The 20,160-nt window shown below is 44.8% G+C and overlaps 2 long non-coding RNA genes across 7 annotated transcripts in view, besides 1 other annotated feature; one reads left to right on the top strand and one right to left on the bottom strand.

The window, feature by feature from the left end:
- The window catches only part of LOC105376568 (uncharacterized), a 51,914-nt gene extending 36,702 nt beyond the window's left edge, over window positions 1–15,212 (top strand). For both annotated transcript variants that reach the window (XR_931075.3, XR_931072.4), the window contains one exon: window positions 14,626–15,212. This is a non-coding gene — a long non-coding RNA (uncharacterized LOC105376568). The remainder of the gene's footprint in view (window positions 1–14,625) is intronic.
- Window positions 1–20,160, bottom strand: part of LINC02751 (long intergenic non-protein coding RNA 2751) — a 152,600-nt gene that overhangs the window by 118,347 nt on the left and 14,093 nt on the right. For 4 of the 5 annotated variants that reach the window (NR_169502.1, NR_169503.1, NR_169504.1 and 1 more), the window contains one exon: window positions 1,224–1,318. This is a non-coding gene — a long non-coding RNA (long intergenic non-protein coding RNA 2751). Of the gene's footprint in view, window positions 1–1,223; window positions 1,319–19,935; window positions 20,006–20,160 lie in introns of all 5 variants that reach the window. The other variant, NR_169506.1, reaches the window with a different exon arrangement.
- Window positions 717–917: a silencer, noted in NCBI's record as "peak1210 fragment used in MPRA reporter construct". NCBI's record gives its function as "represses an SCP1 promoter by STARR-seq MPRAs in K562 erythroleukemia cells {active_cell/tissue: K562}" and the evidence as "EXISTENCE:reporter gene assay evidence [ECO:0000049][PMID:32103011]".

Here is a 20,160-nt window from a genome sequence, read left to right as displayed (position 1 = left end):
CTTGGAAGAGATATGTTTCCAAGCTCCTTTATTGTTAGTGCTTGGCTGGAAAATTAAGTGGGTCTGGCTTAAGGAAAATTTCTATGCTCAGGTTCCTTTTCTTTTCCTGGGTGTGTACAGAGGTGAGCACCTCCTCACTCACCACTTTCCCTGTCACCAAGGCCCACACTGGGGAAGAGGTGCTGATCACAGGCAGGTCTGTTTGAGCAGCCTGGCATCCTTCCCTTAGCAAAGGCAGAAGAGGCCATCTAAGTTGGCAGGGCCTAGGCACCCCAGAGTTGAAATGTCCACTCAAATGTCTCTGGCAAGTTGCAGAGCTTATATTTCATTCCTCCTAATCTGGGAGATGCCAAGAGAGAAATCTGGATTTGCTTTCAAACCCTTGAGCTTCTATGATATTTGTGAAAAATAAGTATTTTCAGTGAACATTTCTGAGGGGCAGCCATAAGTGGGGATCTACTAGACATAATTCATTTATTCCACAGAAGGGCCAGGCCCTCAGCTGAGCATGTATTCATGCTCAGAAAATAATTTGTGACTGTGTCAGTAAGAAGTTTTTCATTGTAAGCAGCAAAATTAACTCTGGCTGATGTAAGTATAAGGGAATTTATTGGAAGGATAACAGGAGCTTAATGAATCATTGGAAAAGTTGGAGAACCAGGCTTGGAAGTAGGCTGGAACCAAATAATGCAGAATGAGGAGCTACAGGTATATTTTTATAGCAGGAGTAGTCAGATCATGGAACTGTGGGAATAAATGAACTCTGACCACCTCTTTGTATTATTCATCTTTGTATTATTTGCTCAGAAATCAGACTCCTCAGAGAGAGCACCAGCTGGCCCCTGGTTCTGGCAGATAAGCCCTCAGTGACCCCTTTGACTTCTATGGGCGGGAGAGCAGGTATCTGGATTTACCATTCAACCAAGATTGCAAATAACAGGGGAAAATTAATCTCTCCAAAAAAATTGAGATCTGGTTGAAATGGAAAATAAAAGCTTTGCAGACAAAAAAAAATTCTCTATCTATGTTTCCATAATTTAGAACAGATGTGTGAGTGTGTGTGTGTGTGTGTGTGTGTTTGAATACTCAATCATTCCACAAACATTTCTGAACATCTCTATGACAGGCCTGTGCTAACTACTGGGGATACAATGGTTAAAAACCTGTGTAGTGGGGTAGAGAGACTCCCCAAAAGGTACTTACAATACACTATGGCAACGTACCGTGTACACAGTGCTGTGGGGACACACCCCTCCTATTCCTGATGTGGTCCAGCAAGATCTCCCCAAGGAAGTAACACAAGCCAAAACTTTAAGCTCTAAAAAAATGGAAATAGAAATGGATCGTTTGTAATGTTAAGTATTCATACATCTTCCCATTCATTCATAAATTCATTCAGCAAACACTCATTAGCTATTTTAGAGTGTACGAAGCTTTGGGTTTAGTTGGGTTGAAAAAAATAACTATTAATACCATTGACATAAAAGACAGTCATTGGGTGTGGTAGCTCATGCTGGTAATCCTAGCACTTTGGGAGGCTGAGGTGAGAGGATCATTTGAGCCCAGGAATTCGAGGCTGTAGTGAGCAATGTTTGTGTCACTATACTCTGGCCTGGGCAGTAGCAAGACCCTTCCTCTTAAAAAAAAAAAAAAAAAAAAGAACCATAAATAAGAGGTGACAGAGGCTTTTCCTGAGATATTCCCTCCTGATTCATGTATTTCTCTTTTGCTAAGGTCACACTCCACTCCAACCGTAGCTCCTGTTACCGACTCAGGAGCAAACAAACCAGCCCAGAAGTCACAGGTATTCCTTTTGTATCCTGTAACCAGCTGGACTTTTGAGTACCTCATCCTTCTATAAAACTGCCCCCTCCTCTCATCTTGCCCCAGGGCCAGAGTGAGGCCTGTTGAAGCACAGTGAGGGGATGGAGAAGAGGAATTGGGGCCCTGCGTTTCCCTGTCTTCCTGTTTTCCTAGCCTCAGCACAAATGGCCTTAGCAGTGCACCCAGTTCGGGGCCTGCTGGATGAATTCGGAAGACCAGACCTCTCACCCAAGCTCTGGTTGTCATCACAGTGTGTGGCTCTGGAGGGGCCGCTCCCTCTCTAAGTCCTTCTTCCCCATCTGAGGAATGGAAGGTCAGCCCTCCACGGATTGCATGTGCCTTCCAGTTCTTGGATCCCTTTGGCCCTGCCTTCTTCTCCCTCATGTTTTCCTGGGCTGAGTCTTCATCTCAGATACCGCTGCTCTCTCCACCTCCCTAGGGATCCGATCTAGGTCTCCCTGAGATCACTGAATCTCATGTTTTAGCCTCAGATCCTCAGCATTAGCAATGTCCCGTGAGGCCCAGGCTTCCCTATGGCTTCACTGAAGGAGCAGAATCAGGGCATGGGATCTCCCAGCCCCGCCTCACCCTACACAAATGTGTCTTTTCTCCACCAGCAGCAAAAACTTTTAGAAAACTTCTAAAGAGGTAGCTTCAAGGACAGGAAGAAGGGATACAAGGCAGAGGAAGGCCTGCGGAGACGGCGCCTCATTCTCTGCTCCCTGGCCCTGTGAAAACTCCTAAGAGCATTTGGCCCTGTGGGGGATTTCTGAAGCAACCCGGCGCAACCCCACCTTGGCAGAAACCCTCCCTTCTCTGTGCTCTTTTCCTGTGTTGTGACAGATGCTGCTCTGATATCCTTGGTACCCAGCTCCCAAAGAAGAAAACAGATCACCCATCACTGGGTAATTATAGAGCAACTGAAAGGCCATTTAGCTACTGTGTGATAAGCAATAGACTATTTTAATAATAACCAATTACCATACATTATAGTATATCATTTGGCATTTGTTGATCTACTGGGGTCTCACCTGTTCCTTCCTTTATGGAGCATTTTGTGGCTGTTCACACTTTCCCCAACAGAAGTTGTGCCACTTTCTAATTGAAGCACTATTTTTAGGAAAGAGTTAGGAAGTTTGTAGAGGTGGTGCAAATTATATCATGCCAAGTAGAAGGATACATTCTGCCAAGTGTCTTCTCTGACAGCTCTGCCATTATGCTGTGCTCAGGAGGATAGAGAGTGAGATTTGTTTCATGATCTGCATTAGCCTTTCGACATTAAGGGAAGTGTAAACCTGGAGGTCTCCTGCTGTCCAGGCAGACATGTGGGCAATCCAAACAGACACTGCTCTCTGCTGCTGACCATTCCTTCCTGGCTGAGCTGCATTCTCACTGCCTGGTGAGCAGGAAGTCTTGAGGCCTAGCAGCCCACTCCAAGGTCTGCCATGGATAGCAGAGCAGGCCCTGTCCAAGCCACAGAGGTTCTTCAAAGAGCCAGGGAAGATGACCTTCTAATCGCTAAGATCTGCTCAGCGCATTCCCCTAGCCTGGGCTCCCCTCTTTACATTCACTTGCTCAGCCACTTCTCTAGGGCACAAGCCTGCCACCAAATAGATAGCCAGGCTGGTTCTGGGTGCAGTGGCCACCCTCACGTTTATGTATCCACTGTACTCTTTCCATGATCTCCCGCATCCAGAGGCTTAGCTCTGAATCCTTTCCTCCCAAGAAGATGATTAGAGTCCTCATGAAAATTGTCAACCCTTTTCACACACACATATTTAAGTTCAACCTCCAGTGAAACCCCCTGTTATGAGCTGCCGGATTTATAAAGTGGTAGTGGTTTTTGTTTGGGACAGGCCTTTAGGATATCACAGTTTACTCTTCTGCCCTCACAAAGCAGATATGGTTTAATCCATTAGATGCTATCATCACTGCCAAGTCCATTCACTTTCCCCACATCCGTGTCTACCACTCAGGCTGCCACCACCCCTCACCTGGATTATTGCAGTATTCCTTGCTCCTGCCTTGCCCCGCAACCGTCAATTCCCCATACAGCAGCCAGACAGGTTTTGTTAAAAGTATACTCAGATCACGTCACTCTGCTGCTCAGACTGCCCTAATGACTTTCTATCTTATTCATAGTTAACAATAAATAGGTATCTTTTTAAAAACCCACAATAAAAAACAAAGGCAAAACTTACTAATTACAAAGCCCTACGTAATCTCTACCTTCCTCAAGCCACCCCCTTCCACAGTTACCTTGTTGTCCCTCTCCCTGAATCATCAATGAGTTCACCTTGCTTACTCCATCCAGTCCCACTGACCTATTTGCAATGTGATTTGCAATGTCTTTGGACACAATGAGGCCATTTTACTTGAAAAAAAAAAATCTTTAAATCATTTGTGTTGCTTTTAATAAAGAAAATAAAGAAGCTTTATTCTTACTCATCATTATTTTCAAAAGTTACCTTAGAACTGAAGTAGAATTTAGAATACCTCTTGAGTCACTGAGATGTCTCAGATAGGGATCTCTTAGTTGCAGTAACAGAATCTCACTCAAACTAGGACCTAGCAGAAAAAGAAGATCTTAAAATAAGAAGGCAAAGCCATTTAATGGACTATGAAGACACAAAGTGCTTCCAAACCTATGATGAACTGAACCCAGGAGATGAGAGAAATCTAGACCAGACCAGCTAGGCATTTGGATTGGGGATGAACAGGGAAAGTGCAGGTTAAGTCTTTCTTGCCCCAATTAGGATGACACTGGAAGGGGTAAAGATGGAGACACATATAGAGGACAAGAATGAGCCTGAAAGAAAATATCCAGGGGGCTGAGGAGCTGGAGAAGATAGAAACTGGAGAAGTGAAAGAATGACTGCAGGGTGGGGATTGCAGGGCTGATGACTTCTCCTCCTCTTGGGAAATGGGCCCACTCCAGATGAAATGCAAAGACATGGTGCATGGTAACTGAGAAATGAAAGTAATACACCTTGAGACTCCCTCAAAATTCCCTACCTCAAGCTCAAATGACACTTGGTCCTTTGCCACAGCCATACTTTTGTTTTAAAAAAATCACAACCAGATGCGTCTCCATTTTATCAAGCAATTAGTTACCATGTTAAACTCAGTGAAAGATCCAGAGAAGCATAAATTACTTCCTTTTAGCAGCTTACAATCCAATGAGAAAGGGAAAACACCTGTTGGTGGATTACTTAAATAATAGTGAGAGAGATAGCTTGGTGTATTGGAAAAAGCATGAGTTTGGAGTCAAGAAGATCTAGATTTGGACCCCGGTTCCCTCAGTTACAAAATGTCCCTTAGGTAAGTTTCTTAAACCCTCAAAGCCTCGGTTTCCTCATCTTTAAAAATGGGAATAGTAACTGCTACCACCCTGTGGCTAGCACACAGTAGGTGTTGAATAAATTGGTTTTTTTGGTTGTCTGTTTGTTTGTTTGTTTTTTGAGATACAATCTCACTCTGTCACCCAGGCTGGAGTGCAGTGGTACAATCTTGGCTCATTGCAACCTCTGCCTCCGGGGTTCAAGCGATTCTCCTGCCTCAGCCTCCCAAGTAGCTAGGACTATAGGTGTGTGCCACCATGCCTGGCTAAGTTTTGTATTTTTAGTTGAGACAGGGTTTTGCCATGTTGGCCAGGCTGGTCTTGAACTCCTGAACTCAGGTGCTCCCCCCCGCCTCAGCCTCCAAAAGTGCCGGGATTACAGGCGTGAGCCACCATGCCCAGCCTTAATTGTTCTTCTTTTATAATGAAGATCATAATGCAAGTGATTGGCAAAAAAAAAAAAAAAGAAAGAAAGAAAAAAGAAAAAGAAAAAGGAAAAAAAAATAGGACAACCAGAAATAATCCTCTAGTAGTTCAGAAAAAGACAAGTTCAAGATCCCAGGCAATGGAAGACGTGAGTGGGTCTATCAGGAGGAGGAGGGGTCCTTGAGCCACCTGTGATGGTTAATTGTATGTGTCAACTTGACTGGGCCACAGCATGCCCAGACGTTTAGTCAAACATTATTCTGGATGTTTCTGTGAAGGTGTTTTTGGGTGAGAATTGCATTTGACTGAGGAAAGCTGATTGCCCTCCCTAATGTGGTTGGGCACCATCCAGTTAGTCGAAGGCTTGAATAGAACATAGAGGCCGACCCTCTGGGTGTAATAGAATTCCTCCCTCCTGACTGCTCTCAAACTGGGATGCTGACATTTTCCTGCATTAGGACTTGAATTGAAACATCAGCTCTTCCTGGGTCTCAAGTTTGCTGGCCTTTGGACTAGAACCAAACCATTGACTCTCCTGGGTGTTCGGCCTGCCTAACTTACCCTGGGACTTGCCAGCCCTGTAAACATGTGAGTCACTTTCTTATAAGGAATTCATTAATTAATTAATCCTATTGGTTCTGTTTCTCTGGAGAAGTCTGACTAATATACCACCTTTGAAGGATAGGTTAGGTTTGGATAGAAGTAGAGAGGAATTGGGGAGAAAAGGGCAAATGAAAGTGAGTGAAAATCAATTGGGTGTGTTGACAAAATCTGGAGGATCCTGACTGACAATATTAGCCAATGTTTATCAAGCTTGTATCATGAGCCAGCCTCTGCTTTACCTGCACTGTCTCATGTAACCCTCCTAAGAGTCTGATGACAAATGCTATTCCCTTTTTAGAGATGAAGAAAGCTAGTCATGGAGAAGTCAAGAATATTTTCCAAGGTCCCGCATCTAGCAAGTTGCAAGATCAGAGTTCAGACCCCACTAATCTGACTCCAGGGACTATGCTATTATATTATGCAGACAAGTATTTACTGAGGTTGAGTGGATTAAACTGGATAAAGCTGGCACATACACAGCTAGGTTTTAGATGCTAGACTAAGTGGGTTAGGTAATTGCAGACCTTAGGCTCAACTTCTGCATTCTGTTGAGAAGGAAATTGAAGTTCATAGATGGGAAGTGACTTATCAGGTTCACACAGGCCAACTAATTGAGCCAGAACTTGACCTTAGACCTTTGTTCAGCTGAGTCAGCTCCTGGGACTTGCCTCAGTCAGGGTCCCTGCCCATTTTGGGGCCACACTGCAATGTGAACCTCTCCTAGGACTGGGCCTCTCTGGGGGACCTCTCCTGCTGAGGGTCCCTCCAGTCCAGCCTCAGCCTCAGAAAGCCAAGAGGAAGAGGGGCTCTTAGCCTCCCACTAACTCAGCCTGCGAGGGGACATTTCAGTCTCTCCTTTCTCCAACTGCCCTCTCTTGCTCATGCACGGGGACTCATTGCACACACTGCCTTTCCTCCGCTCCCATAGTCCCAGCTTTTCCACATGACACTAATTAGAGGTCAGCTTCAAACAAGCCTCAGGGACCAGTCCTGTCACCAGCTTGTGGTTCTTTAAGTATCTATTATTGGGGACACAGGGTGACTTGGCATGGCCATCCTGGCTGCAACCTGACACTAACCTCAGGGCCTAGCACTCGCTGGTTCCCATTTTCATGACCTGGGCCTGACTGACTATTTCACTGAAGTCTGGGAACAGGTGCTGGTCCCACTGCACGATTTCCTAGGTTGTTTTCAGTCAAGTCAGATTCTACTTCTGTCTGCTCTGTGCCCACCTTGAGGGAGGCTCTTGAGTCCTACTGATAACCCAGATATAGTGTCCGAGTCACTCTGGAAAGGAACTAGTCTCAGGGCAAAAACATGGAGGCCACTCAATCATTCCGCAATGTGGATTAACCACATACTGCGTGTCAGACACTGGTATACAATGATGAAAACGACAGAGTGCCTGCCCTCATGGGGTGAGAGCGAAGGTCCATCACAGACCAAAAAGCCATCACAGTCCAGAGGGCAAGTGCATGATGGAGGAAAATACCGGTTGCTAAGAGGAAATACAGCAAGGGCATTGAAACGTGGTCTGGCCATTAGGATTGGAGTGGGGTTGGCTAAGAAGGGCTCCCAGCAGCACCAATATCTGAGCCAAAAAATGAATAATTCTCCAGGCAACAGGGCATAGGTGTAAATGTATGTGGTGTAGCTGTGGCCAGAAAGGTAGAGATAGTTTCCCAGCAAAGGGAATCACAGGTACATGATAGAAGAGGATGAGAGGAAACCTGTTGTGATGTGGACTGACAGTTGTGTTGTTCTGATGAAACAAAGCTCACAAGGGGAGGTGACAGATGATGCCAAAGGTGTCATCCAGGACTGCATTGTCGGGGGGGTCCTTGGAAATTATTTTTAGGTGTTTGGGATTTATCCTGTAGCCTTACAGAGCCATTAAAAATTTTTTAAGCTGAGGAATGACATGGTTAGCTTTGCAACTTAGACAAAGAAATAAGTGTGACAACAGGGATGTGGTCAAATGCTAGGGAGCCAGAGGAGGGGGTGATTCATTCTGCCTGGTTTGAGAGCCACACCATAAATTCATCCTGAGGGCCCAAGGCCCTTCTTCTGAATACATTCCTGATTCTGGTCCCACAATCAATGCCTCCCTCAAGCCTACCCTCCAGCTCCTGGCTGAGCTTCCTAGCAGCTTCCAGACCTATTATAGAACCTGGTCCCTGCCCTGATATCTCCTCCTGCTGACAAGGGGCTTGGAGATTGTTCTCTCCTGTTAAGCAAGATGTATTCTCCCTGCCAGCACCAGGTCAGCCCCCATGCCCAACCCCACCACAAAGCATGTCCAGGCTTCAGGCCCTTCTAAACCTGCTTCACTCCACAGCAATCTGTTCCTCAACTCCCGATATTATAGCTTAAACTGTAGGTGATTTAAGAAGATCAGACCATGGCTGGGCATGGTGACTCACGCCTGTAATCCCAGCACTTTGGGAGGCCTAGATGGGCAGATCACGAGGTCAGGAGATTGAGACCATCCTGGCCAACATGGTGAAACCCCATGTTTGTGTATACTAAAATATATACACACACACACAAAAACAATAACAAAAATTAGCTGGGCATGGGCACCTGTAGTCCCGGCTACTCGGGAGGCTGAGGCAGGAGAACCACTTGAACCCGTGCAGGCAGAGGTTGCAGTGAGCTGAGATCGTGCCACTGCACTCCAGCCTGGTGACAGAGTGAGACTCTGCCTCAAAAAAAAAAAAAAAAAAGAGGGTCAGACAAAGATAGGAGCACATGAGCACAGGAATGATGCCCTTAAAGAGATATGCCTCTCACCACGCCCTTTAAGGATTCTAACTTAGCTATGATGACCTTGAGCAAGTTTTTTTAGCCTCTCTGTCCTCAATTCCCTCATCTGTGAATGCTTATAGGAACAAGACCCACCACATGGGTTTATTGTAAACATTCAATGACTTAACACATGTCAAGCTTTAAAAAGCCCTTGGCATATTGAAAAATTAGACAGTGTTGTTACTAAGAGCAGTCTCCTGTGCCCGGAATAAACAGAAACAGCATCCTATGAGATAATGCAGAAAAGGGGAGGGGTCAGTGAGTCAGGGAAGGGGAAAATTAGTGGTGTTCCCCTCAAACAAAACCACAAAATGTCTTCATAACTAAGTAACATTTTTAACAGAAAATGCTTTTGTAAGGTAGGCAGTTGCTCAATTTATCCATGCCTATTGGCTTCTCAATTTTGCAGAATCCTCGTGCTTGCCTCACATTGAACATCTGGGGCAGAGGAAGAAGTTTGGCCTTTGGGTTTGGACCAAACTGAATTTAGAAAATGACACTGCCACACCCTGGCTGTGTGATCTTGGGAAGCTCACTCAAATTCCATGAGTCTCAGATCCCTCATCTGTAAAGTGGGCACAATCCCACCTGCCTGGAAATGCAGAGATGAGAGAGTCTTTCTAAATAGGCTGGCACGATGTGGTAGTCAAGTCAGGGGAGTCTCCTTCCTCTTGGATCTCATGTCCTGACATACTCAGGAGAAACACCCTCCAAGCAAAAGGAAAACAGAGATACCCTGTGACATGAGCAGAGACAACCTCTCAGGAAGTGAGATTTTAGACAGTGGTCACTGAGGATGCCTCCTGTACCCTCTTCCTTGAGGATTTGGGGCATTGTCATTCTCAGGGCCAAGTCTTTTCCAGGACTATGAGGGTCAGAGGAACTCACAGGAGAAGTACAGACCTCCTTCAGTGTTCCACATCCTGCTGCCCCCAAACTGGGCTGTCAGCCCAGGAGTCATTAGCAGGTAGCAGGGCTGAGCGTGGGGCCATCAGTCAGAGGAGAATGTCTGCTGCTGTTCCTGAGATGCAATGGTGCCCTGAGGAGCCATTGGCAGTAATGATGATGGGTATTTAAGCAAACGAACTGTTAATGACCGGGCAGAGGTGAGCTGCGTCCCAGACCAGCTGGAGCCCAGAGTTGGCAAAGGAGGGTGAGGTAGGAATGAGGAGAGACTGGAGAGGAGAGAATTCATTTTCTTCTCAGAAATTGGTTTCCCTAGGGAGTCTTGGTTAGCCATGGGGCAATGCCTGCTTTATGTGCTGTCCCCTACCCTGGGACTCCCCATCACTTCCATGAATTATTTTTAAAAACTCCTGGCTGCCCTGCCCAGTTATACCCCACATCACTCCTATTCTTCTAGCTCAGTCCTTCCTGCCATATAGCAAAAAAGAGTCTTGCTGAAAGCCCATATCAGTTGGGAGAGAACAGGAGGGATACTGATACTGGCTGGCTGGCTCAGGTCTGATGGATCCTGGGGGCTGAGGACTGAGTGGCTGGGGCAGATGAAAATGGTCATATTAACAATACACCGTCTACTGATAACAGTACTACTACCACAGCTCTGTATGAAATGCCAAATGTGTGCCAGACATTGTTCTAAATTTTTATTTTTTTGAGACGGAGTTTCGCTCTGTCACCCAGGCTGGAGTGCAGTTGCGCAATCTCAGCGACTGTAACCTCTGCCTCCTGGGTTCAAGCAATTCTCTCGCTTCAGCCTCTTGAATAGCTGGGATTACAGGTGTGTGCCACCATGCCCAGCTAATTTTTGTATTTTTAGTAGAGACAGGGTTTCACCATGCTAGCCAGGCTGGTCTCGATCTCCTGAACTCAAGTAACTGCCCTCCTCAGCTTCCCAAAGTGCTGGGATTACAGGCATGAGCCACCACGCCCAGCCTGCTACAAACTCTTAATCAACATTGTTTAATTTATTACTCACACAATCCTTGAAGTGAAGATCGATGCTCCCATTTAACACAGGAGGAAACTGAGGCTCGAACAGAAGAAATAACTTACCCAGAAATTAGGGAGCCAGGTTTGTCTATATAGTGAGCAGGGAGAGTGAAACTAGAGAATTTCACAATTTCAACCTTTCATTACCCAAAGCACAATGTAGCTAGAGTAAAGAATACTCTGGCTTGAGAAGTCTTTGAACTGAGAACAGAAGGTGGAGCCAAGATCAAGATGTTGTGCCCTTCAGATTCACACAGATCCAGATGGACAGGAGGCAGGTGGCCTCAACATTCTATAGGTTCATGTGCTTGTTCCAGCCTCCACACCTTTGTACTCTCACTTTGTCCATTCCCTTTAGACCCATCCAAATCCACAATGGTAAAGAATGTGTCATCCGGCAAAAAGCATCAGCTCTGCCCTTAGACAGAACCTGCCACATCCTTGCTGTGTGGCCTTGGGTAAATTACTTAGCCACTCTGAACATGTTTTCTCATATGTAAAGTGGGATAGTGATTATTTTGTAATTGTTAGGTAAATAAATAGACAAAAACAACCTTGGCATCAATGTGGTATAGGGAGCAGATCACTTTTTATTTCTTGGCTGTGATTCCTGACAGCAGGGTGGATTGGGTAATTCTTTCGACCTTCTGTTTTCTAATTTGCAAAATGGAATAATTTTTCATACCTGGCAGGATCATTTTACATTTTAGAGATGATGTAAATAAAATGTCTAATACATAATTGGTCACCAAAAATAGTAACTGCAATTAGCCTTTTTATCAATTAGATGTATATTGTGCCTGACCCAGTGCCTGGGTTCCACAGTTAGAAGTTCCTTGTCCCTCATTCTGCTCTTCTACCCTATTCTCTGATAAACTTTCTCTGTGCCTTCTCCAGGAAGGCTTCTTCTGTCACCTACAGCACTCTATCTCCTCTGAGCTCAAAAACTTCTTTCACAGTTAGTAATTAACCAAACCACTTCTTGTATTGTCCACTGATGCTTCATTTGTTGGTAAGCTGTCACTCTGGAACTTCATAAGAAGCCTTTAATTGGCCGTGTGAATTTGGACACATAACTCTTTTCTCAGAAGTTGAGTTTCCTTATGAACAGATGGAGGCTTGGACCAGAACCTGGTCTTCTGTCTCCAAACCACAGGATTTTACAGGACCTCAAGCTGACCCTGGGCACAATCCACTCCTCCTCTCCCCGAGCCTTTGCTCACAGAATCCACTCTTCCTCAAATGGCCTTAACCCACCTCCATATTCCAGAATGCATCTTAAATGCCACTTCATCCATGAAGCTTCCTTAATCCCCTCCAGGCAGAGGTGATTTCCCCTTTGAAATTACAGAATCTTTAGACCCACTAGCCCATGTAGATCTTCCTGAACTTCACCTAGAGCTTGCCATTCCTCCTACAGGAACTAAAGTCTCTAATCACAGAAGTGTGAGTCATGCATTCCCATATCTCCTATAGCCTGAGCACTCTAAGCCTTGCTCTGTAAGTATCCCTGAATCTTAGGGCCCTGTTCTGAGGACTACAAAGGGACCCAAAGATTTACTATACAAACGTTATTAAGGAGCCATATTCAAGTCACCATCTCTGCTAAAAGGAGATAAATCCTTGTGGGATCTCTGGGTGTCACTTTCACATAGACACCTACCTTCCTGCACCCCATCTTTCTCTGTTCCCTGATGCCCTTTCTATAGCAAGATTATCTTCATTTCATCGTATTTCTTTTGACACCTGTGCTAGGAGCTCCAGACCACAGCGAATTCCCTGACTCCAGACACTGTTTTTTCCTTCTGCTGTAACTGGCATCTGTTCAGGCGGATGAGTGAATATTTATTAGATCTCAGCAGGTTTTGGTCACTTTAATTGTTTTCTAGTGAAACGTGCCCATTGCTGAAACCAGACCTTGTTGGCCATTTATCAGGTCAGCTAAGTGAAAGGGGAGCTGCATGGAGACGGCAGTTCAGGCAGGTCCAGGAAATTTTGGCTGCAGAAAGAAGTCATGCCAAAGAAAAATGAGTCCCAGGATGGTGATCTGGGACTGATGGATTAAGAGATAAGCACCGGAGTTGTGATCTCAATACACAGAATCACTGGACCAGTCATTCTCATAATTAGATGCAAGTGGCAAACATTTAGTGTATTTTTTTTTTTAACTTTTAAAACTGCATGGAGCAAAAGTCATTGGAAATGGCAATTGCCATTTTTTGAAGAAGCGGTTGGGGAAAGGAAGTGAGCAGTATTTATTAAGAGTTATGCACTTAACATAAATTGGTGGTTTCCTTATTTATTTATTCAGAAAAACTTTTTTTCACATGATATTTCTCCAGAAGCCCAACATGTAAAAAAGAGAAGAGCCGCTCTTGTCGAAGCTTAGGTGAGACATCTGAAGCCCACCTATTCCTTTTGTCCCTTCCTTACTCAAATTCCCATCAAATTAGTCCTTGAAGCCCATGAGGCCCTTTTCACAAACATTGCCTATCTCAGCCCTGGCAGCAACTCTCTAATGATGATATTATTTACCAATGTGTTAAGTGAGAATGAAAGCAGTATAGTCACATGGCTGGGAAGTGGAGAGGAGTCAGGCTTAGATTAGAACTCAGCTATCCTTACTACAACAAGGTGAGTGGCTCCTTCCACACCATCAGGATATCACCTGGTTGGAAGAGGATAGACTGTGGTCAAGGATCCCCAGTCTGGCTATGCCTGTGTATTAGTCCATTCTTGCACTGCTATAAAGAACTACCTGAGACTGGGTAATTTATAAAGAAAAAAGGTTTAATTGGCTCACGGTTCTGTAGGCTATACAGGAAGCATGGCTGGGGAGGCCTCAGGAAACTTACACTCATGGCAGAAGGCAAAGAGGAGGGAGGCACATCTTACATGGCCAGAGCAGGAAGAAGAGCATAAAGCAGGAGGTGCTACACACTTTTAAACAACCAGATCTCATGAAAACTCACCATCATGAGAACAGCAAGGGAGAAATCTGCCCCCATGATCCAACCACCTCCCACCAGGGCCCTCCTCCAACATTGGGGATTACAGTTCAACATGAGATGCAGGCAGGGACACAAATCCAAACCATATCACCCTGTAATCCATGTGAGAGGGGCAAGGGCTGAGAAAAAGAGAGAGACTGGAGAAGATCAAGCAATAGATCTTTGGCCTGACCAGAAATGGAGTAGAGAGGGGAGGCAACAGAGATGAGAGCCCATTTTGCTTTTATCCAGATGATACCCCCATGACAGAGGTTCTGTGTTCTACTCTGCCTCCTCTAAAGTGACAGGGCTCCCCTCCAGTTTGCTGCCCTCCATCTTGTCTGACTGTCCCTGTCACCAGCACTGCCTTGTTTCTGGGTGATACAGCCAGTTGCCTGCTAAGATTCAGTCCTCACAATCAAAAGAGGGCTCTGAACCTTAGAGCCTCAACAAGAAAGAAGCTGTTGCAGCCCCTGATGGACAGTAAAATCCAATGGTAAAGATGGTTTAATGTCCCCCAAATGCCAATTTGCTTGTGGATATGTTGAGTGCGACCAGACTGAGGGCTGATATCCAGATGGAAGTGTCCAGCAGCCCAGCCAGGGTGGGTGGGGGTAGGGTGGGGTGGGATGTCTTTCTCCTATCTAGTCCTCAATAGTCCTCTCTCCCCTTACTCACCAGGTAGTGCTGACTTCCAGACCACTGAGGTCACCTGCATAAGCGAGTCTGGCAACAAATAATCGTCTTCCAGAAAATGACCAGAAACTCAGCCTGCTTTTTGTCATTTCACCAGCCCCACCATCTTTCCTTTATTCTAGAGCTCCTGGCACACTTACATGAATCTCTTGAAAGAAGAGAAATGAGAGCATTCATTCCATACTAATACAATTGTGCCCTATGGAAAGGCTTTTTGCTGGCAGACATAGTAGACGGACCATTTCCCAACTTCTTTTTCTTTGCCACCTTCCAGCCAAAGGTGTCCATATGACACAGCTCTGGACAGGATAATTGGAAGTCTGTTGTGGGATTTCTGAGAAAGCTTTTGATTTTCTGACAGAGACATTTTTGCTTCCCCTTACCACTTCCTACTGGATTACAGATGTGATGGAAAGAGCTGCAGCAGCCATAATACAACCATAAAGGAGAGGAGAAGAGAATTGCAAAGGCATCAACCCACATTGAATTGAACTGCTAAGTTAACACTAGCAGTTACTTGCCTCCAGATATCTTGGTGTGTGAGAACATTAAATCTGTATGTGTCTAAATCAGTATGGGTGAACATTTCTGTCACTAAAGTCAAAAGCATCCCTGAAACAGTGCATGATTCCATATGACCCTTACCACAACCCTGGTAAATAGGTATAATTATCCTTCATTTAAACATGACGAAATTAAAGTTGGGAGAAACTGACTATACAAAAGTCATTAATCGTATGAGTGGTAGAATCAGGATTTAATTTCAAGCTTTTCATGCTACACTCACAAACCCATACCAAATAAACAAGAAGTTAATATATTACATATATTAAGATATTATATATCATATCTGTATTATATTTAATTTCTTACATACATTTTATATATTTATATGTACTTTTACATATATATTTATATATACTTATTCTTTATATATATATCTACACACACACACACACACACACACATACTTTTTAATCCTATTGCCTAATTTCCTTGGAGTCCATGGTAACAACATCCCCTTTATCTTGGGCCTGTGATGATTTCTCTCCTAGACTAACATTACTCTCAGCCCACTAGATACAAGTAAAAATCATCCAGGAGAAAATACAGATGATTTGGAAGTGCCATGCTTCCTAAATATCAAGAAATAAGAGAGTCTGAGTGTGGGAGGCAGCGTGTAGAGCATAAAGAGCAGAGAATCTGGAGCGGACAGATGTAAGTCATAGCCCAGCACTGTCTAACGCTAAGTTGCTGTGAATCCGTTGGAAAAAGCACATCCCCCTCCATGAAACTGGGTTTTCCTACCTATCAAATGGAATGAGTATCTGGTGGGGGCAATGGGATTTGTGTGTGTGTGTGTTGGGGGGGACTGGAATAAAGGGAGTTCTTAGGTGACACTTAAAATCATTTTAATGTGAAAATGCCATAACTGGGAGATATATACACATATACGTCTACTGGTGAGTAAACCCACCTCGACCAGAATTACAGATTCTTTCATGATTTGTTACCTGTGAAGAGGAGATGATGGTGTAGAGGATCGGAATGCACAAGAGACAGCAATCAGCAGAGGGCCAACGCCTCCTAAGATCCACCTTTGTCACCTTAAGGTTTTTGAGCTATGGCCAGGGACTTGAGTTGGCTGTTCGTTCCCACTGTAGACAGTTTGCTCTCAGAAACCACATCTTTATGACCCCACCCCATCAGGGCGTAGCAGGGAATGTATTCCTCCATGACATCTTCACCATTTTCTTACCGGTCACATCAGCTTTTTCCTTTTTTTCTTTTTGTAACGAGTTCCAATGCCCACTATCCATTTTGTGCTGCTATAACAGAATACCTGAGAATGGATAATTTATAAAGACCAGAAATTTATTTCTCACATCCCTGGAGGCTGGGAAGTTCAAGGTCAGGGTGCCAGCATCTGGTGTTGGCCTGCTTGCTGCATTCTCACATGGCAGAAGAGCAGAAGAGAGCAAACCCACTTCCATAAGCCTTTTTTATAGTGGTATTAATCTGTTCATGAAGGGCTGTGCCCTTGTGACCTAAATACCTCCCATTAGGCCCTACCTCCCAACACAGTTGCATTTGGGATTAAACATCCAACACATGAATTTTGGAAGACATATTCCGACTATAGCAACCATGCTCTCAAATCTACAGAGGCAAAGCAGTCACCCTGTACCCCAGTCACTAGTAGGTTGGGGGTCCCATCCTCTGCACCATAACATCATAATTTGGTGGATAGAATGGGCTTCTGCATGTGATCATGCCTGTACTGGACAAACGGTTTTGTCTGCAGACCTCACTTCTATCCTCCTGTATTACTGAGCCATGCCAAGAACAAGCCTCTCACAGAAGCTGCTTGTTCTTGGATTACACTTTCTTGACATCAAAATGTTTGCTGAGATTATGCAAAATAGAATGAGATTAACACGTGTTGTTCAACTGAATAGCCCCAGGCTCTTGGCTTTCCTACACAACTTGAGCTGCCAAAATAAATTCCCACCCACGGATATCCTGAGTTTGTCTGGCTTGCTTAGAGTAAAAGCATGGAGACAGAGGAGCTGTTACATAGCAGATTCTCCCACATTCACAAAGGAAGCCGCAAAGCAATTCCATCCAAAGCAACCCTCGGGCCCCTCCCAGAGTCGAGTTTCTTTCCTTCCTGTCCTAACCAAAAGGACATTTTTAACTAAAAGCCAAAGTGTCATCACCTTTTGTGGGGGACAGCCTTCTAGGATCCCCATGGTTTTTACTTACATCACTCCTTTATTCTGCATTCAATAAGTAAACATATTACTTACTTAAACACTTGTTATGCCGGGCATGGTGCTAGGCCACAGGGAGCCGATGGCAAAAGAGATCATGTGGTCCTGGCCATTGGTTTACCCTGTACAGTTAACACTATAGTCTCACTTTCTTCCTCTATAAGGTCATTGCTTTGTCTGCAAAGAAAGAACCCTGAAGAAAAACACTTGGTTACTTAACCCATGAGGGTTTCAAATTTCAACTTATCTAATTTTTGGTGCAATTCCATGTGACAGACTCAGCTATAGGTAATTTCTCATGTGTTTCAAGTGCTCAGTAAATATCTGTGGAATTTGATTGTTAACATCATCACTGCTGTGAAAGAAATACCATTTGCCTCAGTTTTTGGGTAAGATGAGGTATAGAAACTTTCCCAAGATATTTAAGTGGTGGAGCATTTCAATGTTACTTCCATTACGACCATTACCACTACTAATACTATCACTACCACCATCACACCCTATCCTGTATTACCAGTATCACTATTATTACTACACTACCATTGCCACTGTGATTACTACATCATCATTACTACTGTTATACTACTACTGCTACTACTGCTACTTCTATGAGCAGCTAAAACTTAGTGGGCTGTAAGTGTCAAGCCCTCTACTAATATTTTAAATCCATTAATTGATTTAAACATCACACTAACCCTTTCAATTAGAGATTATTGTCTCCCATTTACAGATGAGACAATAAAGTGACAGTTAAACATCTAGAAGTGACAAAATTAGGCTCCAACCCCAGGCAGTCTGACTTCCAAGTCCATGACCGTAACCACCATCTCGTACTTCCCCTCTAGATCCATTTCTAGCACTCACATGTGTGTAATTCCAAAGCCATGCTCCTAACCATGGGATTGGTAAACACTCTGAACTCCAGCGAGGCAGGTTTATGAGACATGCAGGTGTTGCGAGCTGACTCTCACCCTTGTATAGCTTCAAGGCTTCAAGGATGGCTCTACGCCAAGCTTGTCCAACCTGCAGCCTGTGGGCCCAGGACAGGCGGCCCAGGACAGCTTTGAATGCGGCCCAACACAAATTGGTAAACTTTCTTAATGCATTATGAGATTTTTTTTTGTGATTTTTTTTTTTTTAGCTCATCAGCTATCGTTAGTGTTAGTGTATTTTATGTGTGGCCCAAGACAATTTTTCTTCTTTCAGTGTGGTCCAAGGAAGCCAAAAGATTGGACATCCTTACTCTATACCTCCCAGCAGGAACATCCCTCAACAGGGAACACAAAGGTTAGGTTGAGGAAGTAACAGCATCTGACAAAAAAGACAGGGCAAAGATTTCTGACAGAGAGCAGAGGCCCACTATGAACCTCAGATCACTGAGTTCTAGGAGGTGCCCAGAGTTCTAATGGCAGCAGCATCTGAACTAAGGCACTGCTCTAGCCACATCAGGAGAAGCCAGCAAGTTCCTGGCATCTCAGGCCAGGAAGGACTAACAACAGACATTCAGGCCAGACTCCTGCCACATACCCCCTTCATCTTCTTAATGCCATGTCTCACATCAAATGTCCATTCCAGCACTGCTACTCCTTAACATAATGCTACTGAGGGCGCCAAGCTACCTCAGTCCTTTCCCCAATCCTGTAACCCCCATTTCCTATTAACAATGGGCCCATGACAGGCCAGGCACAGTGGCTCACGCCTGTAATCTCAGCACTTTGTAAGGCTGAGGCGGGTGGATCACGAGGTCAGGAGATCGAGACCATCCTGGCTAACACGGTGAAACCCTGTCTCCACTAAAAATACAAAAAAATTAGCCAGGCATGGTGGTGGGCACCTGTAGTCCCAGCTACTCGGGAGGCTGAGGCAGGAGAATGGCGTGAACCTGGGAGGTGGAGCTTGCAGTGAGCCGAGATGGCGCCACTGCACTCCAGCCTGGGCGACAGTGCGAGACTCCGTCTCAAAAAAAAAAAGGGCCCATGACAGGGTGAGACCAGTGACTCAAGCCAGGTCTGGATCTTTGTCCCCTTTTCTCCGCCTACAAGCATTTTACACATCCTTCATGATCTACCTCCATATGCACCTCCCTGTGAAGCCACTGTCTATTCCAGGACCCAAGCACTTTGTAAATCCCAATCATACGGCAACAATCAAGTTCTTTCTTCTATTTTTGAGGGCGTATCTCTTCTGGACTAGGCTTGTTGAAGACCAGTAACTTACCTTATTCATATTTGCATGCCCCACAGCATCTAGTCCAATGCCTGCCTAATAGTAGGGGCTCTGTAAATGTGGAAGGAAGGAAGAAAGAAAAGGAGGAAGGAACGAAAAAAAGAGAAGGAAACGGAAGGAAGGAGGGAGAAAGGGAAGGAAAAAACAAAAAAAGAAAGGGAAGAAGAACAGAAGCTAGGCATTCAGTATGCCACACCTCTGAGTTTTCCTAAGTCCAGCCCCAAATCATGTAAACATGGGTTTCCGATACAGAGACCACAAGAATTTGGTCTTTGTCACAGGCTTAGTTCATTACCATAGACTTAGAGGCTGATGGAAGTAGATCTCTCAGGACCTCCTGCCAATCTGGGAGCTGATGGAAATCACTGGAACAAAAAAGGAGACAGTGGTATAGGGAAGGGCATGGAATTTTACATTCGAGGACTTATTCTATCCCAGCAGGCTTTAGCATTGGGTATGTCTTCTGACAACCCTGCACCTCAGCTTCCTTCTCTATGAAACTGAACACTATCACCTCCTT

Source organism: Homo sapiens, chromosome 11 (assembly GCF_000001405.40).
Source record: "Homo sapiens chromosome 11, GRCh38.p14 Primary Assembly".
NCBI classification, from domain to species: domain Eukaryota; kingdom Metazoa; phylum Chordata; class Mammalia; order Primates; family Hominidae; genus Homo; species Homo sapiens.
Note: the sequence above shows the minus strand (reverse complement) of the source record. Positions and strands in the feature narration are given on the sequence as shown.